The 25,773-nt window shown below is 49.9% G+C and overlaps 1 protein-coding gene across 2 annotated transcripts in view, besides 2 other annotated features; it reads left to right on the top strand.

The window, feature by feature from the left end:
• Positions 1 to 25,773, top strand: part of C10orf143 (chromosome 10 open reading frame 143) — a 75,706-nt gene that overhangs the window by 48,220 nt on the left and 1,713 nt on the right. The gene's annotated exons all lie outside the window — the stretch shown is intronic.
• Positions 12,741 to 13,625: an enhancer, noted in NCBI's record as "H3K4me1 hESC enhancer chr10:131847250-131848134 (GRCh37/hg19 assembly coordinates)". NCBI's record gives its function as "activates a minimal SCP1, AML or CMV promoter by ChIP-STARR-seq in naive H9 embryonic stem cells {active_cell/tissue: H9 hESC(naive)}" and the evidence as "EXISTENCE:reporter gene assay evidence [ECO:0000049][PMID:30033119]".
• Positions 17,739 to 18,238: an enhancer, noted in NCBI's record as "H3K4me1 hESC enhancer chr10:131842637-131843136 (GRCh37/hg19 assembly coordinates)". NCBI's record gives its function as "activates a minimal SCP1, AML or CMV promoter by ChIP-STARR-seq in naive H9 embryonic stem cells {active_cell/tissue: H9 hESC(naive)}" and the evidence as "EXISTENCE:reporter gene assay evidence [ECO:0000049][PMID:30033119]".

Here is a 25,773-nt window from a genome sequence, read left to right as displayed (position 1 = left end):
CCTTCAGTCTGTGGCTGAAGGCCCAACAGCCCTTGCAAACCACTGGTGTAAGTCCAAGAGTCCAAAAGCTGAAGAACTTGGAGTTCGATGTTCAAGGGCAGGAAGCATCCAGCACGGGAGAAAGAGGAAGCCTGGAAGACTCAGCCAGTCTAGTCTTTCCACATTCTCCTGCTTGCATTATTCTGGCCAAGCTGGCAGCTGATTAGATGGTACCCACCCAGATTGAGGGTGAGTCCGCCTCTCCCAGTCCACTGACTCAACTGTGAATCTCCTTTGGCAACACCCTCACAGACACACCCAGGATCAATACTTGGCATCCTTCAATCAAGTTGACACTTGATATTAACCACCACAGTGGAGAACCAGCAGCTTTATCCAGGTGCTGGATTTTCCAGACTGTGAAGGGAATGGAGGAGCTTGTGACTGGGTACCTAAAAAGGGGGATGGCAACATTTTCTTGGTGTTTTCAGCCATTTTAGTACAGGCCATGAAATAGAAGGCTCAGAAATTCCAGATTTTCCTAGGTGTGGTCCACACCTCAGTCCCATCCTACTCTGGCCTCGTGTGAACAGAGGTCCTGCCCGTGGCCTTGTTGTCCCCTGGCAGCCGCCCTCCACCCACCCCCTGACTTGCTGTCACAGCTGCCCTGGCATCCATCCTGGCCTTCAGCCCCACCTCCCTGGCTCCAGAGTCATCCCTGGCCACAGGACGGTCTCTGCTCTCCAGCCCAACCCGCCTCCTGCTGGGATTACCTGGAGGAGCTCACCCCGTGCAGAACTGTTTCTCCCTGGCAAATTAATTTGTCAGCACCACAGGTACTAAAACAGATTAGCTAATAGGCAAAACCTGCATAGATTTCACTAAACTGGGTCTTGATGCACCCATGACGAGCGTGAAATGGGATTATCCCTTTAAAGTGCTTCATCTTTGTATTCTTGTCAAAAGAGGAGGAAAAAGACATTTTCTTACACCCTGAGGAAACAGACTGGGCATTGATGTGTCTGTATGTCCATTAGATAAATTTTCAATTTGTTCTTTAATTATAATCTGTTATTGCTTTTGGGGGGATATAGGGGCTAAAAATGTCAAAACGTACCTTTAATAATTTCACAAAGTAAGTTTGTAATGGTTTCTAAACCAACAACTTACGAAACTCATTTTAGAACATTCAAAAGCATGGTAAGTGGTTAACAAAGATGTGTTAACATCATTTGACATGTTTTTCCTCCTTCAAAAATATAGTTTATTTCCAAATTTGTTTTTAAAACAAAAAGTATACTTGAAATCCATACTTATTAAAGAAAAAAATTTTTAATTATAAATTTTAGATAAACATGAAACTAAGTCGTCCATAATCCCATTACTCAAAAGTAACTCATGTTCACATTTTGATGTGCGTCCTTTCAAAATTTTTTCTATGTGAATATATGCTCCCAAGCATGTACTTTTAAAATTTATAGTTTATTTTATTTTGAGACAAGGTCCCACTCCTGTTACCCAGGCTGGAGTGCAGTGGTGCAAGCACGGCTCACTGCAGCCTTGACTTCCTCGGGCCCAGATGAGTACCTCCTCAGCATCCTGAGCAGCTGGGACCACAGGCATGTGTCACCACGCCTGGCTAATTTTTGTATTTTTTGTAGAGGTGGGGCTTCACCATGTTGCCTAGGCTGGTCTTGAACTTCTGGGCTCAAGCCATCTGCTCACCTTGGCCTCTCCTAGTGCTGGGATTACAGGTGTGAGCCACCGCGCCCGGCCTAGCATATACTTTTTTTTTTTTTTTTTTTTTTTGAGACGGAGTCTCGCTCTGTCACCCAGCCTGGAGTGCAGTGGCGTGATCTCGGCTCACTGCAAGCTCCACCTCCCAGGTTCACACCATTCTCCTGCCTCAGCCTCCCGATAGCTGGGACTGCAGGTGCCCGCTACCACGCCCGGCTAATTTTTTTGTACTTTTAGTAGAGATGGGGTTTCACCGTGTTAGCCAGGATGGTCTCGATCTCCTGACCTTGTGATCCATCCGCCTTGGCCTCCCAAAGTGCTGGGATTACAGGCGTGAGCCACTGCGCCCGGCTGCACATACTTTTTAATGTTAACATCATGTAACTCTTTTCATGTCAATTAATATATATTAGATTACCATTTTAAGTGATCATTACCATTTTAAGTGATTACACAGTATACCATTAAATGGAAATGCTACATTTACCCAGTTCCTTCATAATGAGTGCTTAGGTTGTATCTATCTACTTGCTATTATAGAAGTTGCTGTCTAAACATCCTTATATTCTGTAAAGTTTTGCAATTATATTCAAAAGAACATTCTAGAAGTTGTGCTGCTGGTGCAGAGGGCACCTTCTGGTTTTCTGCCCTCTGGAAAGGTACCAAGAGCCCATGTCCTGTCCCTGTGCACGAACATTGGCAGAAACTTTTTTTTTTAGCATGGAGCACTTTGCACCCACAAAAGTAGGCAGGACAAACAAACAGGACAAGGAACCCCGTCAGTTCTTATCCAGCTCCAGTGATGATCGGCCACTGCCAGTCCTGCCTGCCTGTTCCCACCTGGTCCCACTGTTAGATGCAAATACCAGACAGAATATGACTGCAGCTGTGCTTTTTTTCAATGTCTCTCCTAAAGAGACATTTGAAAAGCAAAACCACAATACAGTCGTCACTCCTAACACACAATTTACAGTAATTCCTTATATCATGAAATAGCTAGCTTTTGATCAAATTTCTACATGCTTCATCAATTTCATGATGATTTTGTTTTGTTTTGTGTTTTACAACTTGTGTGAATTGGGATCCGAATCAGGGCCACACACTGTGACAAGCTGATGGGTTCCTAAGTATCTCTCTCTATGCAAGGATCTTCTCTCTCTCTCTCTTTCCCCTCCACTAACTGGATTATAGAGTTTGTGCTGATTTCGCTAATTATATCTCCCTGAGGTTTTATCTGCTTCCCTGACCTGTGTTTCCTACAAATTGGTAGTTGATGTAGAAGCTTAAGTGGATTCTATTTAGATTTTTTAGCAAGTCTTCTCTTTTGATTGATGCCAGTATGATCTTTGCTAGTTGCAGTTTTAATTTGCATGCCACACACTGCTTTTTGGAGATGCTTACTGGCCGTGTGTGTCTTTTGTAAACTTTCCACCTTTGCCCATTTTTCTACTGGAGCATGTGTCTTTATTTATTTTTAAGAGTTCTTTATATATTAAGGCCATTGAATCTGTTTTTCTCTCATGTTGGAAATATTTTTCCCAGTTTATTATTTTTCACTTTGTTTTCAATGATATTTATATATCATTTGCCACACAATTTTTCTCTGTCATATCTGTCAGCCTCTTTTTTTGCTGGCTTCTAGCCTTGCAATCATTTGAGAAAGGCCTTTCTTTCCCCCAAGGTCATCTACATTACATGAGTTGATTGTAACTTACACATCTACATTTTTGCACAATTCTGACATTTAAAACTTTACTCTAGCTACAACTTTCTGGAGGGTAAAGAGTGATATATCTAACTGTGTTTTTTCCCCAAATATTAACCAGTTATTCTAACCACATCTTTTCCATTGACTGTCCATTCCATTTTTATCATACATGGTGTAGTTTCTTTACTTGCTTCTCTGTTCTTTGATCTTTCTCATGCATTGGCCATAACATTGTGCATGTGTGTGGGTGGCCTTTTTATTAAAATATAACACACATGCAGAAGAGCGAATAAATGTGTGCCCAGGTCTAGTACACCTGCATGGGTATGATCAACTTTAGGATCATTTTGTCAAATCTCAAAAAAAAAACCCACATAAAGTGTTGATGGGGTCTGTGCTGATTATTGATGAATTGCAGGATAAGGGGTAGCTTTACAGTATTAAGACTTACACAGACACGTGGTACATTTTGCTCTGATAAACACTTTCCTGTTTCGTTAGTATAGATAGGTCCTGCACTTTAAGCTCATCCCAGATCATCTTGGTTCAATTACTGTTTCTATGTGTAACTGTTATACCAGATCATTTCTGAAAAAAAAAAAAAAATGCTGTTTAAAACCTACTAGTGCATTTTTCCCAGATGCAAAGGGAAATTTTGATCAAATTTCTACATGCTTCATCAATTTCATAATGATTTTGTTTTGTTTTGTGTGGCTGTCCTCAGGAAGCCCATCCTTCCTGAGCACCCTGTATGTCAGACACCGTGCTGAATACTTGACTTACATTAGCATATTTAACCCCCAGAACTCCTTGAGAGAAGAAGTACCTTCACTGTACTAAGAGGAGAGGCCCAAGGAGGCTGCATCACTTGTCCACAGTCAGATGCTGGGGTCAGACCTGGCCTCCACTCCAGCATCTGCCTTCTCCAGACGCTCACTCCTAGAACTGCACATGGATTGTGGGGTGGTGGAGTAGGGGTGGGTGTCTGGTTAAAATGCAGACTCTTAAGTCTGGGGCAAGGCCTGGGATTCTGCATTTCGAATAAGCTCCCAGGAGATGCCACAGACCATGCTCAGGACTGTTATAGCACATTGCCTGCCCACATCATTTAGAATATGGTAACATGGAATCTTGTGGAGGTGCAGACAATTCCCTGGCTCTAGAGTGGAAAGCATTCTGTTTTGGGGAATAATTTGAACAGTTTACCTTGCCAGTCTAGGAAGCCCCTCACCTTGGTGCCACTTCCTGGAGTCATGACGTCTGAGGGCCTGGGCAGGCTGCCTGCCTGGGGCTCCTCTGCCACTTACTCAGTTTCCTTATCTGAAATGAGAATAACAACAGTACCTGCATCATCACTCACTGAGGAGTTAGTGACATAGGTCTGCATTTGACGCTCTTGGAATGGAGCATGGTGTTCATAGCCACTTTTACCGCGTGCTCTTGCACAGGCCTCAGAACCCGCCACTCCAGTGCCCAGGGCCACAGTGGCATAGGATTAAAGCCAGCCCTCTGCCATCCACATGCTGACCCTGTTGTGAAGCCCCCTTCCCCCACAATCACAGGCCTCGTGGAGAGGCTGTCTCAGACCTCATCTTCTCTACCCACTGCCTCTTAGCTAGGATTCGTGATTTTTATGCAGTTTTTTGAGGACCTTTAGAAACTTCTGGCCCCCCAGTTGCTTACCAATATGTCAAGAGTATTTGGTGAGGATTTCCTGGCCTTGGTTTCTGTGATCACTGTCAAGTCTTCGGCATCTTGGTAGAAAGACAGGGTGGTCCTAGTGCAAACTTGGAAGGGCCCAGAGGGGACAGCAGGGATTTAGCGTTTAATGGGCACTGAGTTGCAGATGGGGAAGATGAGAGTTCTGGAGATGGATAGGGGGATGATGGTTGTACAACAGTGTGAAACAATGCTGCTGAACTACACACTTAAAAACGGTTTAAATGGTGAATTTTATGCCATGTATATCTTACCACCATGAAAAATTAAAAATTCAGCCAGATGTGGTAGCTCACACCTGTAATCCCAGCACTTTGGGAGGCTGAGGCGGGAGGATCATATGAACCCAGGAGTTCAAGACCAGCGTGGGCAACACGGTGAAACCTCATCTTTACAAAAAAAAAAAAAAAATAGCTGGGCCTGCTGGTAGCATATGCCTGTACTTTCAGCGAGTAGTGAGACTGAAGTGGGAGAGTCACTTGAGCCCAGGAGATCAAGGCTGCAGTGAGCCATGATCGAGCCACCTACTCCAGCCTGGGAGACACAGTGAGACTCTGTATAAAAAATGAAAGCAACTGGCCGGGCACAGTGGCTCACGCCTGTAATCCCAGCACTTTGGGAGACCGAGGCAGGCGGATCATGAGGTCAGGAGATCGAGACCATCTTGGCTAACATGGTGAAACCCCGTCTCTACTAAAAATACAAAAAATTAGCCAGGTGCGGTGGTGGGTGCCTGTAATCCCAGCTACTCAGGAGGCTGAGGCAGGAGAATGGCATGAACCCAGGAGGCGGAGCTTGCAGTGAGCCAAGAGAGCGCCACTGCACTCCAGCCTGGGCGACAGAGCGAGACTCCATTTCAAAATAAAATAAAATAAAATAGATTTAATTTAATTTAAAAAAATGAAAGAAATAAAAAACTCTCAATGGCTCAACCCTTCCCTTTCTCTGTAAAATGACATTGTTTCTTTTCCTCATTTCTCACTGACTATGGACCAGCCAAGTATGAGTTCTCAGTCACCCACATGAAGGTCCTGGGGTATTCACTGAACGCTTGACTCAGCATGACCCTTGCTGTTGAGCCCTGTGCATGCAGCGGCTCTCAGGGGTGCTGCCCTCATCCTGCTCATGACGGCACCCCCACCCCTGATCTTCTGGTACGGCCACTGGAGCTTGGAGCCATGAGGGGCAGCGCTTCCCTCTGGGCAGGATCCCAAAGACCACCAGTGGCTTGCTAGGGTCGGTAAGGGTTAATTGCACATTTACTAAATACACGGTGATGTTTTCAGCCCTAAATCAGGACAAACAAGATTTCCTTTCTGACATCTAAATTTACTTACTTTAAATTGCATTTACTCATTTATTCAGTGACCATTATTAAAAAGAGTAAAGTTATTTAAAAAGTTAACAATCATCAGCCACCAATGCATTTTTCAGTTAAAATGATCTATTTCATCACTCTTCTGATAAGGCCCATTTTTCTTTTCTTTCTTTTTTTTTTTTTTTTTTTTTTTTTTTACTTTTGGAGACGGAGTCTTGCTCTGTTATCCAGGCTGGAGTACAGTGATGCGATCTCAGCTCACTGCAACCTCTGCCTCCTGGGTTCAAGCAATTCCCCTGCCTCAGCCTCCCAAGTAGCTGGGACCACAGGCCCGCACCACCACATCCGGCTATTTTTTTTGTATTTTTAGTAGAGATGGGGTTTCACCATGTTGGCCAGGCTGGTCTCAAACTCCTGACCTCATGATCTGCCTGCCTCGGCCTCCTAAAGTGCTGGGCTTACAGGCGTGAGCCACCGTGCCCGGCCAGGTGAGGCCCATTTATTCAGATTTCAGGAAAGCCAATTCAGTGATGATTCATAATTCTTAATTTTTTCAAACATTCTTGACAAACTTTTTAAAAATGAGTTTAAATCAGTGGAAGAAATTATATCTCAGGAGTCATAAATGCCTGGGGCAATCACTGCAAGTTGTTGATGATCGAAAATGACCCATGGCCATTCCTATGTCTCCTTTGGAGAAATGTCCAAAGCCCATTTTTAAATTGGGCTATTACTTTTTTTGCTTTTGAGTTGTGTGAATTCCTTATATATTTTGGTAATTGACCTTTTATCAGATATGTGGTTTGCAAATATTTTCTCCCATTCTGTAGGTTGCCTTTTCACTCTTGATTGCTTCCTTTGCTGTAAAGAAGCTTTTCAATTTGATGAAATCCCACTTGTCTATTTTTGCTTTTGTTGCCTGTGCTTTTGGGGTAATATCCATGAAATCAATTCCAATGTCATGAAACCTTCTCTCTGTTTTTTTTCTGGGAGTTTTTTGTTTTCTGTTTGTTTGCTAGGCATTAGCCCACTTGGGGAAATCTAGGAGTTTTATAGTTTTAGGACTTACATTGAAGTCTTTAATCCATTTTGAGTTGATTTTTTTTTGTATGGTGTAAGATAATCGTTCAATTTCATTCTTTTGTATTTGCATATCCAGTTTTCTCAATACCATTTGTTGGAGACTGTATTTCCCCCATTTTATATTCTTGGCACCCTTATTGAAGAGCAGTTGACCATATATGGTTGGATTTATTTCTTGACTCTATTCCATTGGTCTATAGATTTGTCTTTATGTCAGTACTATACCATTTTTATTACTGTAGCTTTGTAATATATTTCAAAATTAGAAAGTGTGATGCCTTTAACAGATAGATGAAAAGATATGCAATGTTACTACTCATCAGGGCATTGCAAATCAAAATCACAATGAGATACCACCTCACACCCATTTAAAAAACAAAAGACAAGTGTTGGTGAGAATGTGAAGAAATTGGCAGCCATACCCACTGTTGGTAGGAATGCAAAATGGTGCAGCCGCTATGGAAAACAGTGTGGAAGTTCCTCAGAAAACTGAAAATAGCACTACCCTATGATCCAGCAATCTCACTTTTGCGTATGTATCCAAAAGAATTCTAATGAGATCTCAAAGAGTTATTAGCACTCCTTTGTTCATTGTAGCACTATTCACAATAGCCTGGATGTGAAAACAACCTGCATGCCCACTCAAAGACAGCAGATGAGGAAAATGTGACTTATACATATGATGGAATATTACTCAGTCTTTAAAAAGGAGGAAACCCTGTCCTATGTGACAACATGGACAAAGCTGGAGGACATCATGCTAAGTGAAACAAGCCAGACACAGGAAAAAACATACTGTGTGATTCACTTCTATGTGGAACCTGGAAACTTTGAGCTCACAGAAGCCCAGAATAGAATGATGCTTGCCAGGAGCTGGAGGGAGGGAAAACGGGCAGTTGCAAGTCAGCCAGTATAAAATTTCACTTATGGCAGATGCATGGGTTCCCGAGATCTGCGAACAACACTGTGCCTGTAGGTAACAATGCCATGTTGTACACTTAAAACTCTGCTAAAAGGACAGATCTGATGGCAAGTGTTCCTGCCACAATAAAATTCAAAACAGCATACTGGCCCATGACCCACGGTGGCACTTGGAGGGATGGCTCACACTTGCTCTCGTCCTTTCCATTTGGGTTCAGACACTCACTCTCCCACGTGAGAATCTCCCCATCCAGGCATGGTCCCTAAGGGGCCTTCCCCCACTCTCCCAGGGACCCACAGTTTCTCCTTGAGTTGGTGCTGGGCCAGCCTCCTGGCAACAGAGTGGGAGGAGACTCTGACAAAGCTTCCTTGTCTTTCCAGATGGTTCCACTTAAGACGCGGTTTCACTGGCATCCATAGTAATTGACAGATGTACTCGGGATCCCTTGTCCAAAAGTCCTGGCTTTCGAGGAGCCCTCTTGGCTGCTGTGCTACCCGCAAACTGCCCCGAGTCCCAGCCATTCGCCCCCTTGAGTCTCACGCCCAACAGCAAGCTCCTGACACCGGTGGAAATATTCCTGTGGGGGTCTCACATGCCTGGGGCCTTGTTCTGGAAAACACCATCACAGAGGTAGAGGCAAGAACCAGGGGGTCTGACTCTGTGGTCCCAAAAACCTTAATGAATAACAGTTTTGTTTTAGCGGCTTAAAAAACATCCTGAAGTATTTTTTATATTCTTTCAAGCTCTCCATCAGTATAAAAACTTAGCAACTTTGGCCGGGCGTGGTGGCTCACGCCTGTAATCCCAGCACTTTGGGAGACCAAGGCAGGCGGATCACGAGGTCATGTGATATATCAGGAGATCGAGACCATCCTGGCCAACATAGTGAAACCCCGTTTCTACTAAAAATACAAAAATTAGCTGGGTGTGATGGCAGGGGCCTGTAGTCCCAGCTACTCAGGAGGCTGAGGTAGGAGAATCGCCTGAACCCTGGAGTCGGAGGTTGCAGTGAGCCGAGATCATGCCACTGCACTCCAGCCTGGGCCACAGAGCAAGACTCCATCTCCAAACAAACAAACAAACAAAAAACACTTAGAAACTTCTAGCGTAACAAAACTCAACATTTTGCCACTGCCTGCCCATAGTTCCTCTGTATACACAATTCATAGAAATGTGCAAGACTCTGCCCACTTGGTATTCCTGTTTGGCTGCAAAGGTTTACTGTACGAATGACCTCCACCACTACTCGACTAGAGTTAGCTGTTTGGAAAACATTCTTAGAACATGCATTGTTTTTCTCTTCAGAGTGAATGCAAGAATTTTCAAATGCTCTACTAATAATTTTCTTTATCTTCAAGGGTACTGAGAGGACCATGAAAGAGTAACGCTGATTAGTTGACCGATAGTCTTATTCACTGGTGTCCTGGTCTAAGCTCTTCCTTTAATCCTGTACTTTTATTAAAATAGCTCCTGATATTAAAATAGGCAGCTTACGTTTGTGATTAGATAGGTACAGTAAAAGTCTATGATGACAAGGTGAGGGGGTCCAAAGATTCAGCTGTGTAACCTCAAGTGTCCTATGGGGCTGACGCAGGCTGGGGCAGCCTCCTCAAAGCTGGTCTGGGCGTGAGACCCAGCTTGCACCTCACGTGTCCTGGCTGTGTCATCTGGGGGCAGTAACTATCCCGGGGATGCTTCTGGGTGTGGGGGACTGTGCTTGGTGCTCCCGGCTCCCATGGCTACCTTCTCCAGAGATCGCCCTGGTGGTTCAAGCTGCCTCACCTGGAGGTACCTGGAGTCACCCTCCATGATTGGGTGGCCCAGGGGTGACCGCTGTCCTGTGTGGGGTACATGGACCCCCACTTCTTTGCCTCAAGGAGCTCCATAGAGCAGCATGTGACCCCCATCGGGCTCCCGTCCAGGTTCCTAACCCAGGGCAAAAGTAGAGAAGCTATTTTATACAGGCCGGAAGGATGTATGGTGGTGGCCTCCTGAGGTGGGGGCGGGAGAGGGAGATGAGACTCTTAACTAGGTGGGGGCGAGAGAGGGAGATGAGACTCTTAACTAGGTGGGGGCGGGAGAGGGAGATGAGACTCTTAATGAGGCAGGGGTAGGAGAGGGAGATGAGACTCTTAATGAGGCGGGGGTAGGAGAGGGAGATGAGACTCTTAACTAGGTGGGGGCGGGAGAGGGAGATGAGACTCTTAACTAGGTGGGGGCGGGAGAGGGAGATGAGACTCTTAATGAGGCAGGGGTAGGAGAGGGAGATGAGACTCTTAATGAGGCGGGGGTAGGAGAGGGAGATGAGACTCTTAACTAGGTGGGGGCGGGAGAGGGAGATGAGACTCTTAACTAGGTGGGGGCGAGAGAGGGAGATGAGACTCTTAACTAGGTGGGGGCGAGAGAGGGAGATGAGACTCTTAACTAGGTGGGGGCGGGAGAGGGAGATGAGACTCTTAACTAGGTGGGGGCGGGAGAGGGAGATGAGACTCTTAACTAGGTGGGGGCGAGAGAGGGAGATGAGACTCTTAACTAGGTGGGGGCGGGAGAGGGAGATGAGACTCTTAACTAGGTGGGGGCGGGAGAGGGAGATGAGACTCTTAATGAGGCAGGGGTAGGAGAGGGAGATGAGACTCTTAATGAGGCGGGGGTAGGAGAGGGAGATGAGACTCTTAATGAGGCGGGGGCGGGAGAGGGAGATGAGACTCTTAACTAGGTGGGGGCGGGAGAGGGAGATGAGACTCTTAACTAGGTGGGGGCGGGAGAGGGAGATGAGACTCTTAACTAGGTGGGGGCGGGAGAGGGAGATGAGACTCTTAATGAGGCGGGGGTAGGAGAGGGAGATGAGACTCTTAATGAGGCGGGGGTAGGAGAGGGAGATGAGACTCTTAATGAGGCGGGGGTAGGAGAGGGAGATGAGACTCAACAGCCACTGAAGGAAGGTGAGCACAACGGTCACCGTTTGCTAAGTATCACAAAAGCAAAAGCAAGTATGACCAAGTGTTAACAGTTAATTCTGGTGAGAACATGGATGTTCGCTATGTATTGTAGTTTTCCATTTTTTGTGTGTTTCAAACATGAACCTTGAATAAATGGCAAGTTGGCTTAGCAGTGGAATCTAAGGACTGTAATCACAGCCAGCGCTGCACCTGTCCACGCACGGGCCGGCGTGTTTTGCACGTAACAGCTCAGTGGTCCCTCCACAGCCTGAGATGGGACCATCATCCATGTTGGAGACAAGGAAGTCGGGGCACTGGCCAAGGCCACACACCTGCCTATGGCTGAGGTCAGTGCTCCAGCAGGAACTGACCCCAGACGGAGAGGCGCCAGGGTTTACATCCCGTGTTAAGAGCTGATTCGGTTGCCACATGCTCTTTATATTCAAAACAATCTCTTAGAATAATTTCTTAAATAGCATCTGAGAGAGAATGCATGCTTCTTTGTTTATGTGAAATGAACTCAGATGCTCCCTATGGTAATGGAGGTAGAAACGGCATGTATAGATGTTCAAGTTTCTTTAAAAAAACACATTGTTTTAAGGCCTTACTACCCGTTATTTTCCATTTTGCCTTTATTTTGTGACTAAGATGATTCTGATTATTTTATTTATGTATGAATGAATGGACAGGGTCTTGCTCCGTTATCTAGGCTGGAGTGCGGTGGAGCAACCAGGGCTCACTGCAGCTTTGACCTCCCATGTAGCTGGGACCACAGGCGCACGCTGCCACGTCTGGTTAATTTTTGTTGTTGTTCAGCCATGTTGCTCAGGCTGGTCTTGAACTCCTGGGCTCAAGTGATCCTCCCGCCTTGGCTTCCCAAAGTGCTGGGATTGCAGGCGTGAGCCACTGCACCCAGCTGAACCTATTCTTAATGAGCCTCAGAACTTGGGGAGCCACAGCCGCAATTCTGCACTTGGCCGGGGCCAGCGAGAGTGGAAGTTTGGGTGTGAGCGTGGCCCATTCCTGCTTCTCAGTCATGCGCCTGCAGCCTGCCAGGAATGTCTCGCCCAGGCGGGTCCCACCACCTGTTTTCTGTTTTTGAATCCTGCCCCGCCTCCCGTTTTTCCATTATGGCTGATGATTTTCTCCTGGGTATAAAAGCTATCCATGCACACTGTCGAGGCCCTGAAAACACAGAACACTTGGAGATGAGATTTTAAACCACTCAATTTCATCACCGATGGTTTTACAGCCATCGGTGTATTTTCCTCTTTCTCTCCTTTGATTCTGTAGCAATACCATCTACAAGGATAGAAATTCAAATTAACATCTTGAATTTTTCATTTAATATTTAAGTCATTTCCTTTGACTTTTAAATCTCCCTAATTGTTATTTTGGTGAGGTCTTCCAATTCTAAAAACCCAGACTCAGTCCTGCCGGTGGAATGGTCTCCCTCAGGACTCAAAGCGCCTCTTTCTACATGTTGTCTGCAAAAGAACTGTCACTGGTAGCAGCGACAACAAAGTGACTGCGAAGTCAGCGTGAGTTGGCCACAGCGTGAACCCAAAACCCCTGTAGGTTCCCTTATCAGGACCCACCTTTGAGCACCCACCGGTCTGAGTGGGGGCTCCGGTCCCCAAGCCCCTGCCCAGGACCAAAGGGTACTCAAGCATCTTCCCGGGGCTGGTTCAACAAGGGCCCCTCCAGGTGGAGGCGATCTGGCTGGCCCAGGGGCTGCCCGGTCTGCCGCACACCATGCTTGTCCCACCCTGGATGGCACCCGGGGCATGTTTTCCACTTGGAATCAGTCGTTTGGAGCTCCGGCTCTGAATAAATGAGCCACAGAGTCACAACACAACAGGGTGGCGAGGGGCCCCTGCACAGTGTTCCCTCCAGTGGCAGAGGGGGAGCTTGCCCGAGCCCCCATTGCTCAAAGATGCCTGCTGTCTCCATGATCGCCACTGGATGATTTCCCTGTGGATGGAGATCCAACATAGGAGGTGCAAACGCATGAGCCCAGGTGCTGCACCTGACATTGCAAAGGAAGCCCGGGCAGTGGGCTGGCAAGGAGCACAAGCTGGGGCTTGTCTCTCAGGGGTAAACCTGGGATAGTGCTGAGAGAAGGAGCCCCGGAGTCCTAGGGGCCAGCTGCGGCCTTGCACATTTCAGAGCGTCTGCATTTGGTTATATTAAGAAAATGGAGCTGGGCACGGTGGCTCACATCTGTAACCCCAGTGACTGGGGAGGCCGAGGTAGGAGGATCCTCTGAGACCAGGAGTTGGAAACCAGCCTGGGCAATATAGCGAGACCCTATGTCTAAGAATAAATAAATAAAACTAACTGGGTATGGTGGCGCATGTCTGTACTCCTAGCTGCTTGGGGGACTGAGGCGGGAGGATTGTTTGAGCCCAGGAGTTCAAGATGACAGTGAGCCATGGTTATACCACTCCACTCCAGCCTGGGAGACAGAGGAGATTCTGACTCTTAAAAAGAAGATGTCTCTCAAGCTCATGGCTTCCTCTGCATTGCGTGGTCTACAGGAAGACTTGGTGCACCAGAGTATCTGGAGCTTTTGTAGCCGTGGGGCTAGTAGGTGGCCCTTGGAGCCTAAAAGTGACCGAGGTCCCTGCACGTCTCAATTCTTTGGGCTCCCATGGATCTGGAACAGCTGAATCCACTTGCCCTGTGACGTGAGTTGGGGACTTGCAGGGACCCTGGTGTCCCAGCAGAGGGTACTGGGGACTTAGGCGAGTGTGTATCCAGCCAGTCACAGGCTAGGTAATGATGGGGCTAAGGAGGGGGATGGCAGAGATTGGGCGCCCCAGGAGAGAGGGAACCTACTCTCAGCCAACCTGGCCAGTAGGAGGGGCACCCACAGACTGGGGCTCTTACCCTCTGTCAAGGCAGGTGGGTCCAGGGAGGGACCACAGCCAGGTCATCTTTCCCCTGGGCCTGCTGTCCTGCAGCTGTAGGGGTGAGCTGGACAGCTGACCCCCAGACAGCCGTCATATATCCACAGAGGGCTGGCAAGCCTGCTGTCCTCCCCTTCCTGCCTCCTCCTCCCTGATAGCTTCCATCTGTCTGCTTACTGGGCTCCAGGGCACCAAGATGATAGGGGGCCTGTGATGCCCCATGACTGGGATGAAGTCCTGTGATGAGCCACAGAGGCAGAGGCAGGAGACAAATTGCAAATAGTATTGAGGGGGAGACACTTGGACCAAAAGTCAGGCTGCCAGACTGGAGCACTCGATTTTTATCTGGGCTTCAAAGGCAAAAACAGCTGGCCTCCAGAAAGGAAGCACATCTGTGCTTTAGGGGAAGCCACCTTACTTTCCTGGTGATAAATCCGAAAAAAAAAAATGTTTCCAGTGGGTCTTTATGGAAATGACATTGATGGGAGGAGGAGAAACCTGGGTTTGGGCATCTCTTATGGGCACTAGAGGCCAAGGCCACCATGTTAAAATAGAAGGATGTGAAAGTATGTCTCAGGGAGCTAGGGTCACGTGGCCTGGGTGTCACCTGTCCATGGGTTTAGGGACAGGAGTGAAAGAGAAGGTGGACCCCTCATCATTCAGCTCAGCTGGCTTCGTCCGGGTCTGACCAGCTCTGGACGCAGGAAGCCTGGAGTGCGGGGGGCCTTAGTAAGTTACTTAGTGCAGGAATCCAGGAATTTGAGAAAGCGGCTGCAGGTTGAGAGCTGTGGGCATCATCAGGGCATTAAGGCAGCCTCAGGGAAGGTGGGCTCTGGAGGCTTCCCTACCAAGTACGCAGCCCCGCTCAGTGCCTTACACAGACCCTCCCGCCCCAAGCCCTGTGCTGATGCTGGGGCTGAGAGAGAGCGAGGGAGCAGACTGCCTTTATTTCCCTTGCAATAACAACAGGAACAAAATAGCTTCACTTCCTACCTGCAGCCAGTACTGTAGCACTTTACTCCATGGAAACTTCATCCCCACGGCAACCCCATGGGGTCCACACCAGGCTCCCCTGTATGATAACACCAGGTCCAGAGCAGCTGCAGAATGCACCCAGTGCATCCGCCAGGCTCACACAGGGGATTGGGTGGCTGCTTTTGGAGCCCATCTGGATATTGGCAGGAGCCTAGACCAACCTCAGTGCCGTGATGTGACAAGCCAGCTGACCACTGTGGATGCGAGACACATCTCTTCCAGTGAAACACCTGGATTATAGTGTGAACGCCTTTCCTTGCAACTGAACAACCGTACTGTCTGTTGACTAGAATACAGAACGTTAAAAAGCAAGTGTGCACGCTTACACACACACGCCTCAGGGGTGGGCTCACACTGCCCACTTCCCCACTCTGTCACCCCCAGAAAGGTCAGGGAGCTCCCCCTGGGGAACGTGACTGGCGCCTCCTGGGAGAGTTAGGCCTAGGCGCTGCATAGACGCACGGATTAAATGAACCTCCGCGTGCAGGTGAGCGGGCGGCGTGGGCGAGCTGGTGGCCTCAGGTGCATGGCCCAAGGCCCCTCCCAGAAAGGACACGCCCAGCCCGCAGCGCGGAGACGGCAGTTTCCATATTTAAAGGAGCATGGCCGGCTTCCTATCTGAAGTGTGTTTCCCCGGAGAGACCACCACCATTTGATCTATTTTTGATTAAAATGTAAAAATTAAAAATTAAATCAAATGGTAGCATAACTCCTCGGGGAAAACACACTTCGGTTATGAAGAATTCCCTGCAGTAACCCCGAGACTCTTACGGCAGCATTGTCTCGTCTGTAGGTGGTCTTTTTATGTCACACATAATTAAGAGGAATTGCAGTGAGAACCACCGAAGACTGCCTTCCGTGTGGGGTCCCGCAACTGGCGCTTCTGGAGCAGGTCCCGGGGGAGGCGCTGGGCGGGGGAGCGGCGTGCACAGGTGGGGCTGCCCACCTGCAGGGAGCCCGAGAGTGCGCCCTGCGCCACCCATTGCCGTGCCCCCGCGTCCCGTCCCTCGTGTCCCACGCCGAGCCTCGCCCCACCCGCTCCACCCCACTCCGCGCCACGCCCCGCGCCCCACTCAGGCCCCACTTAGCACCTCTCGCCCCACTCCTCGTGCCCTGCCCCTTCCTGTGCCCCACGCCACGCCCCGTCCCACGCCCCGCCCCATCCCCATGCCCTGAGCCACTCCCTGTTCCACGTTCCGTCTGCCCTGAGCCCTACCACGCGCATCCCTCTGTGCCACGTGCCCCACGCCCAGCCCCACCTCCCATGCCCAGAGCCCCACCCTGGTCTCAGTCCAGCACCTCACGCCCGGCAGGTGAGGTCGCGTACTCGGAAGGTGGCTCCTTTCTCCCCCGCACGTGGCAGGCACGTTCTCCACACGACGGATTCCCCACAACAGCCACGACCGGAGCCATCAGACTTCCTGGGAGTGGAAGCCACAGGTGACACGGACCTGACTGCTCCTTAGCTGAGCCTCGAGTCGAGGCAATCGCATTTGCTTCCACGTTTTCCCGCCCGCGTGGCGGGACGTGGCTGTGACTTTCTGAGTCGTGACTTCAGGTCCAGTTGTGTGGGGTGTGGCTGGACATACCATGGCAGCCTATTGACACCTTGGCTGCATTTATTTTTTGACATCTCTGCTTCAAACGAAAATGCCAGAGAACAGAAACGTTCCCGGAACGAAGGTCTGGAGGCAGCTCCCAGGGGCGCCTCGCGGTTTTGGGGCGTGGCGCTCGCGGGGGGCGTCCTGGGGGTGCAGCTGCAGTGCTGCGGGGCGGGGCGTTGCTGCCACTGTCTGCGGGGCACTGTGGGCGGGGCAGCAGAGTTGGGGCTGTATGGTTCGTCACCTGCTAGTTTCAGTCCGAAGACATTTGACGCCTGTGCGGGTTTCCTTTTCTGTTGCCAAAGGTTCTGGAAGCAGGACCTCGGAGTCGGGAAGGAAATGCATTTCAGGAGCCGGGAAGAGCAGGCCCCGCCGACCTGCAGGCAGAGGGCGCAATGCCTGGCGAGGTGCCTGCCCAGAGCCTGCCTGCCCTGCAAGAAAAAGCCATTTGGAGGCGCCAGGTGGCCAGTACTGGGACAAAGCTGTTCCTTGCCCTCAGGAAAGCCAGACCCACGCTGGGTCAGGTCCTAAACTTTCTCCATGGGGTGGGTTTTGTTCACCTCCACAGGCAGTGGGGGCCCCTGGACCCCAGAGAACAGAGGGGACGGGGGGACAGGGCAGGAGGGGCCGGTAGGGAGGCATCGGGGTGTGGCAGGCACTGGAGCATCAGCCACATGCCAGTGATGGGCCGGTAGACCTGAGCTCCAGCCTAGGTCTTCACCTCACTGAGTAAGGACCCTGCTTGCAATCCGCACACCTATGCGCAGGGCTGGGCATTGCTGTTGGTAGTAATGGCCTCTCTGTTTGCACCTCTTGTCCCACAAGCCATAGGAAGCCCTTTCTGGGGTACACAGGTGGCAAGGGTACATCCCCAGAGGAAGTCTGGACTTCCCAAGGCTGACAAGTGGTCCGTTGACAAATGGATCCACCGGGTCATCTGGTTCATGATTTCCCTTCCATCATGCTGGCAACTTGCACGCACCCCTTCCATCAGAAGCCAAATGGGATTTAAGAGCCAAGCATCCCTTTCCCTGACTTTGCTCATCTGCAGCTGGGTGCACTTTGTAGCCCAGCGTGATGCCTTTCCGAGCCCTTAGCAGAGTGACCAGCTCACCTCAATGAAACCCCCTTCCTCAAAGACCACACCCGGGGTTCCCAGCCCCTGGCTCCCTGGCAGCCCTGGCTGGAGCAGAGCCTACCTGGCAGGTAGATGTGGAAGGAAGGAAGAAAAGCAAGCCTGGGAGTGAAGGGAAGCCCAGGCTGGGCTGGGCTGGAGGAGGCGTCATGGGGTGCAGCCAAGACCTCTCCACTTTCCTCCTCCAGCCACATCCGCATATCCTATTTCTTAAGTCACAGGGGATCTCACCTCCAGTTCCCAGCTCGGCCCCCATCAGGCTCAGCCTGTTCTCAAATGTCTCGGTCACTTTTCCCGCCAAGGCTTCTCCTATCACAGTGCACCAGTGGGTGGCTCCTCAGGGGCAGTCCCCAGACAGCATCCCCACAGCCTTGCAAGCTTTCCTGACCAGGTTCACATGTTGGCCTGGTCAGACTGGAGGAAACCAGCTGTCCCAAGCTAAAGTCTTCTCCTTCTTTACCATCTCTCTCTCCCTCTCCCTTCCTCCCTCTCCCTCTCTCTCTTTCTCTCTCTCTCTCTCTCTCTCCCTGCCATGGTCTGCAAAGGCCCCTGGGCACTGTCCAGGTGCCCAGGCTGAGCCCCAACCCTAAGAGTGTCACCTCTGTAATGTGCAGAAACTAAAAAGCCTCCCATCATGACGAGCTACAAGTAGGTTCCACCTGCAAGAGGCGGAGCTCCACATTGCTGGGGCATCTGCTCGTTCATTTTGGTTTAACTGTCAGGATGGACGGTGCCCTTGTTATGCCAAGGCAGGGCATAAGCACCTCTGGAACAGTGGGGTGGAGATGCTTCAACTTCTGGAAGACCACACCCCTCGGGGAGAACATCTGGGTATCAGGCACAGGAAAAGGCATGTCTGACTCAGCGGGAGAGCAGGGCACCTGGGGGTGCTTATGGGGTTTGTTCCCCCAACCTGCCCCTTGGTCTGGGCGTGAGTGCCATGGTTGAGGAGGGGAGAAGAAGACCAGGGCTGACAGAGGGGTTGGGGAGAGACTTTCTGCTGCTGGAACGAGCAAAGTTGCTGAGCTGCCCAGAGAGAGAAGCACAGTACAGAGGGGCGGGGCTTTTTCCCACCTGCCCGTCTTGGTAATGGGCATCTTGTAAAAATCATACTTTCCAGTGGGTTATGGCTGATATTTAGGAGGACTGTTAGATTTGGTGTGTTTTGTGTCTAGCCAGCTGATAACCTTTCCAATTTGCTTTAATATGTTAACGCGTTCTCTTCAATTTTCCAGGAATACCAGCATGTTTATAAGTAATGATGATCAATTTTTTGCCGTATAACTCCTTGGGAAAACACACTTAGGTTATGAAGCATTCCCTGCGGTAACCTTGAGACTTACGGCAGCATTGTCTCATCTGTTGGTGTTTTAATTATATCAGCTGCTTAACTTTCTTATTTTAAAAAACATATTGTTATGGAAAATTCAAACATACTCAAGCATGCTAGGCCAGTGAGCCTCCACGCCCCTCACCCAGCTGCAGTGAGCATCAGCGTTTTGCAGGCTTGCTTCCGCACTGTCTCCGAGTTTTTTCCTGGAGTGTATTAAGGTAATCCGTAATTCCACCTTGAATACCTCAGTATGTGTCTTTAACAGATAAGGGTATTTTGCCACGACTGATACACACATTTAACAAAATGATCCATAATTCCTTAATAGAGTCTGATATTCAGTTCACTTTCAAGTTTCCTCCAAGCCGTGACGGCCCACCTCCTTTCCAAGCGTTGCTTTCCCTACTTGTGTTTTCAGTTTCCACCTTTCTCACACTGGCTATACGAATATAGGCTCTCCAGACGTTGGCTGAGGTGATGAAAACAGTATGTGGCTTTCGGCAGCTCTGGATCAAAGGACGGAGAGGTGGATCCAAACCTGACAGCAAACAACTGATTTCAGATGCCCATGGTGTTAACAGTAGAGTGATGCCCGCGAGGAGGGGTGGGCCAGAGCTGAGGGAGGTCTCCCATCCGAGGGGCTGAGCTTGCTGCCTTGGGCAGCACAGAAAGGGCTTCCGCGCTCCAACCAGCAAACACGCCAGCTAATTGTCCAGGACTGAGACCGTTTGAGAAAACGATGGTGAAATCGATCACAATGTTTCTTCTGAGGAAGTGAGCCAAAGGAACTTCGTCATATTTATCCATTCACAAACTCTTCTAAGAATGTAAGTTTAATCAAATTAGCAGATTTTCTATTCTTCTAATATGTTTCCTTTGTCAGTTAAGTTAGCTAACAAACGGCGTGAAAGTGGTTAACGTTTGCAGAATGATCGTTCCATGTACGTGATAACTCTATGCACATTTTCTGATTTAGCCTAAACAGTCTAGCCCTGAATCAGAAAGTAATAATCATTCCCTTCTTCCCACATGAAGCCCACAGAGCTCTGCCTGGGGTTGTCTGTGTGTGTATGTATGGGTGTGCACATGAATGTGTAGCTGTGTGTTCATAGTGTGCATGTGTGGGTGTGCACGTGTGTACACAAGTGCATATTTGGGTATGTATGAACGTGTGTGCATGCATAATGTGCATGAGTGTGCATGTGAATGTGTGCTTAGGGTGTGCATGGGCATGTACATATGTGGTTATGTGTACACATAGGGCATATGTAATTGTATGAGTGTGTGCATGTGTGTGTGTGTGTGTTACACGTGTTCATGTGAGAGTATGCACATGGGTGCATGTGTGTACATGCATGTGTGTGTGTGTGTGTGTGCAGAGCTTATTAAAATTATACATAAAAGTCCTACAAGTTTTTTTCACTTAATTTGTCCTGAAAGTGTTTCCTATGGACACATTTCATCAGCACAGATGGAACTCATCATTTTAAAAGCCATGTGTTGCTACATTGAAAAGATGAACAGTAATTCACATAGCTGCTATCCCCCTGACAGACACATAAGTTCCTCTCAAATTTTGGCTACAGCAAAAGTGTTAAAACTCATAAGTTAAAAATGCAAATCGAATTTATGATATATCATTTTACTATCAAGTTGGCAACATGTTTTAAAAATCATAATCGTGCTGGTGAGGATGTTGGAAAATAGGCACTCAGTCACCATTGGTAGCAATGAAAAAAGAGTTTCAATCATTGTGGAAGAAATTTGGCAAAACCTATCACTATTTGAAATGCCCCTGCTTTTTGGTCCATCATGGCCTCCTTGGTACTGACTCTGAGCTTAGATTCATGCCTGAAGCTGCTGTCCCAGCCTTGTCCCCTGACCTTCGGAGGGGACTCAGTAGAGGTCAAGCTGGTGATACCTGTCCACACGCCTAAAAGTTCAGGTTTGTGGAAACCATCTGGACTCAGGAACCAGAGCCTCGGTATTTAGGTGCTCGCTGCTTTGCATTTTATCTCAAACACAGCTTCTCCCTGGCAAGACGGCCGTTCAGGAGCTTGGCCTCCTGAGAAGTAGAACGGATTCAACCCACCTGCCCTTCAGTGGAGGGAAGAGGTGATACCATTAGGATGGCGCAGCCCCTCCCACCCACCTGTCAGGGCCTCCTGGAGGTCTGGGAGTGCCGGTGGCGGGGGCCCTCACTAAGATCCAGTGTCCCTTCCCATGCCGGTTCATGCCCGGGAGTGCTCCCCAAGCAAGGAGGCCAGTGTAGCTTCCTGAAGCCTCATGTCCCTTGGTGCCCCTCACTGAGCCATAGGCCCTGCCACTGTGGTCCCTTCATTCTACCTTTTTTTTTTTTCTTTTTTTGAGACAGAGTTTCACTCTTTCACCCAGGCGGGACTGCAGTGGTGTGATCTCAACTTCTGCCTACCAGGTTCAAACAATTCTGCTGCCCCAGCCTCCTGAGTAGCTGGAATTACAGGCACCCGCCACCAAGCCCGGGTAATTTTTGTATTTTTAGTAGAGACAGGATTTCACCATGTTGGCCAGGTTGGTCTCGAAATCCTGACCTCAGCTGACCTCCACCCACCTCGGCCTCCCCAGGCGTGAGCCAGCACGCCGTCCCATTCTACTCTCTTGAATAAGGCGCTTCACTGTCTGGAGGCTGCAGGGTGCGGTGGAGAGTCTCAGGAGACTTGCTGCTGCCTTATTCTGATGTGCAGGAAGAATGTGACTCAGTACTCAGTGTCTTATGAACCAAATGATCCACTTCCTAAGCCGTTTTGCAAAAGAAGCCTTCGAGTGATCTTCACCTTGGAGAGACCCAGAACTCATACCACGCTTGCACGGCAGGCTAGGGATCAGACTGCTCTGTCCATATACGGGGACAGGCAGATGTCATGATATGGTCCTCGGTGCTCTTTCTGGACTGCTCAGCAACAGGCCAGCTGGGATTGGGGTGCCTTCAGCCCAGCAGGGACTGGGGGCTGGGGGCATGGATCCCAGGCCTACTGATGCTGGCTGCTGAAATTCCCAGCACTCCCTTAGGGAGGGGGCATCCAGGCTCAGATGACTCCCACCCCAGCTCCTCATGTTCCCTGCTGATGAGTGCACTCAGCCCATGGAAAGGGAGAATGGCAGGGGACAGGTCCCCTCCTGGGGCATCCTCACTAAGATACCAAGAGAATGGAGCTTCCAGACCTCCCACTGCTGATTTCAGAATTAGCTTCCCCAGGCTGGCCAGTTTCTTATCCCAAACCCTGCACATTGCTGTGTGATTTGCCACGTCCCTAAATGGTTCATGCCCAGTAGCTCTCTGGGGACAGCAAATTGGTAGTCACCCACTGTGCTTTCCTCAGAGTCATCCACAGTACCCTTGGGGAAGGCCATTGCCCCAAGGAGAAGAGCGCATGAGACGTCGGGAGCCTTCCTAGAGGCAGAGGTCAGCCTCCCCACCTGCAGCGTATGAATGAGAAACAGGCCCAGGGCATCTTCTGACTTGCAGGGCATGAGTGTGAATTTTATGGGTCCACTTGGCTGTGCCACAGGATACCCAGATAGCTAGTGAAATATTATTTCTGGGTGTGTCTGTGAGAATGTTTCTGGAAAAGGCCTTGAAATCAGGAGACTGCATGAAACACTCATGAGATCAGTGTGGGCAGGCAGCATCCACCTCATCGAGGGCTGAGTAGAACAGGAAGATGAGGAGGGCACGTTTGCTCTCTCTGCTTGATCTGGGCTGCCCATCTTCTCCTGCCCTCGGATGCTGGTGCTCCTGGTTTTCCAGTCTTCAGACTCACACTGGGACTCACGTGGCGGACTCCCCTGGCTCTCAGGCCTTTGGGCTTGGACTGGAAAGCACCACCGGTGGTCCTCGGCCTCCGGCTTGCAGACAGCAGAGTGTGGGACTTCTCAGCCCCCAAAATCACATGAGCCGACCCCATAAGAAATCATTCTCCATGTATCTGTGTATATCCTGTTGGTTCTCTTTCCCTGGAGACACTGGCCAATACACAGATGGACAGAGTAGCACTGGCTGGGCTAGTGTCACCGTTCCCAGCTGCTGGGGTGACAGAGCAGCACTGGCTGGACTAGTGTCACTGTTCCCAGCTGCTGGGGGACCAACTGTCCTGGTTTGTCTGAGGCTGAGCCTTTCTTGGGATGCAGGACTTTTAGCACCAATACCAGAACATCCTGGGCAAACTGGGAAGAGCGGTGGCTCCACACATTATCAGTCAAGCCCCTCCCTGCGTCCTCCCTGCCCAGTGCAGCACTCCCCTGCCCTGTGGTCAGAGCCTGCTGGCCCATCACTCCCTCCGGCCTTGCTACCGTCTCCGCCTCCTCCAGCTTAGCAGGAAAAAGCATACACAGTCGGTGCTTAATGGTTGTGCTCTGTGCTGCACTGAGGTGGGCTGTAGGCAGGGCCAGCAGATGATAATTGGGAGGGCAGCCCAGTCCCAGGTTCATTAGCCAGGGAGGCTAAGGCCAAGGATGGCCCCAGGCATGGCTCAGCCTGGGGGGTGGGGAAGGGCCTGGGCGGTGTTTGATGCCCACACCTCCGTCTGTCCTGGCAGTCCCTTTACATCCATCATTTAAAACGAGCAAACGCCAATTAATAAAATAATCCCCCGAAACCATTTTCCTCCCGGATTGTGAGCCTATATCAGAGGTAAGCCTGCAGGGAAGTGTTACACAGGCTCATCAAGACCTTAAGTGAGGCTGTGGGGCCCACCCTCATCCCAGGGGCCCCCAAGACAGATGCTCCTGGATGAGATGAAGTGTAAGCCAGGGCCTGCAAGGGAGCCACAGGCTGGGGTGGCCTTGCCTGGACAACGGCCTGTTATTCTCCATTTACTGCATTTCTCTCCCGGTAAACAACATACAACTGAGGACCCACTTCTCATGCACAAATGAGCAGTCCCGAACCCGAAACTTCAGTCAGCGGCTGGCCCTCTCTCTCAGGCCACCTGTCACCTGCTGGCCCAGTTGCTGCAGGGTCCATGCCTCCCTCTGTGCCTGTACCTGCTGGAAGAGGCCGCCGCATGTTACTCCCTGTCAAGAAAGAATTAAAGAAGCATCTTGGGTAGGAAGCAATTGTGGAGGGTGGAAGTTTCTGGCCAGGCAAATAAATTGGATTTAAGTATATTACAGTCATAATCTTTTTCTGCCCCTCTCCAGACGGTCTCTGTACATGGAAAAATGAGAATGTATTCGCAGACAAAGCTTGACCTGAGGGAGACGCCTGCCGGAATCTGGATTTTCAATAACATAAGACAATAAAGCTTAGACTTCTAACCTGCCGCAATATGGGAAAAGTATAAAGAGCTTAGCTGCTAATAAAAGGGAAGGGTCTTCCCCTCATATTTGAAGATCCGGACCCCCCAGAAGGACACTTCATGAAGATCACAGTGGGTTAGCTGGGATCATGCAGACACGAGGCCCCTTGTTGACCGATTGTCTGACAGTTGTCACGTATGGGTCTGATATTAATAAGGCCCGCATTGATTTCCTTGGGGTATTTTTGTCCCTGTGAGTGCACAGCCTCCTGTTGTGGCTCTAGCCTCAGTGGCGCTGAGCTACAGTTGCCCTCAGCAGGATGCACAGGTGGGGCTGCCCTCCCTGGGGTGTGCACACCTTGCCAGTGGCACCTCCCTCGGTGGGTGGCTGGAGGGGAAGAAGGGACATGCTAAGGACAGGGGACAGAGTCAGGGCCACTCCCTTGGAGACCGGGCACCCTGGTCCACCCACAGCAGGCAGGGCTTGTGAACGATGGGCTTGGGAGTGAGCCTTCTCTTGTTTCGCTTGCTCATCCAGTACTTCCTCTAGGATGCAAGTGGGCTGCCGGCAGTGTTACTGGGGTAAGTAACTGGGTGAAGTCAGCCGGAGGAAAGCGGCAGTGCTTAGTTAAAAGTGTTCTTTGACATGTAACATACGGCGGAAGCGGCGGCCCGGCCTTGGTGAATTTCAATGCTAAGAAGCCTTGTTGCTCACCCATCTCCTCCCACAGGGCAGAGGGCATCGCCCTGTCCCCTTGGTCCCCACCCAGACTTTCTCCAAGGGCACTCTTCAGTGTCATCTGCACTTTAAAATGCCATTGAGGCCAAGCTTTCCAAAATAGTCCAATTCTGCTTGTACCAGGTGCATCCCTGCATCTGCACCTCAGAGGAGCCAGCCTCATCCATAGTGCACACTGTCACCTGCTGGCCCAGTTGCTGCAGGGTCCACGCCTCCCTCTGTGCCTGTACCTGCTGGTACAGTCAGGCATGCAGCCCACCTAGTTGCAGCCCCTGGTGAGAAGGGCGAGCAAAAAGTGCGGGATGCTGGGCGCTCCAGGACAGGCCCATACCCTGCC

This window comes from Homo sapiens, chromosome 10 (genome assembly GCF_000001405.40).
Source record: "Homo sapiens chromosome 10, GRCh38.p14 Primary Assembly".
In the NCBI taxonomy this organism is placed as follows: domain Eukaryota; kingdom Metazoa; phylum Chordata; class Mammalia; order Primates; family Hominidae; genus Homo; species Homo sapiens.
The sequence above is the reverse complement of the archived record's forward strand: the minus strand, read 5'-3'. Positions and strand labels throughout refer to the sequence as shown.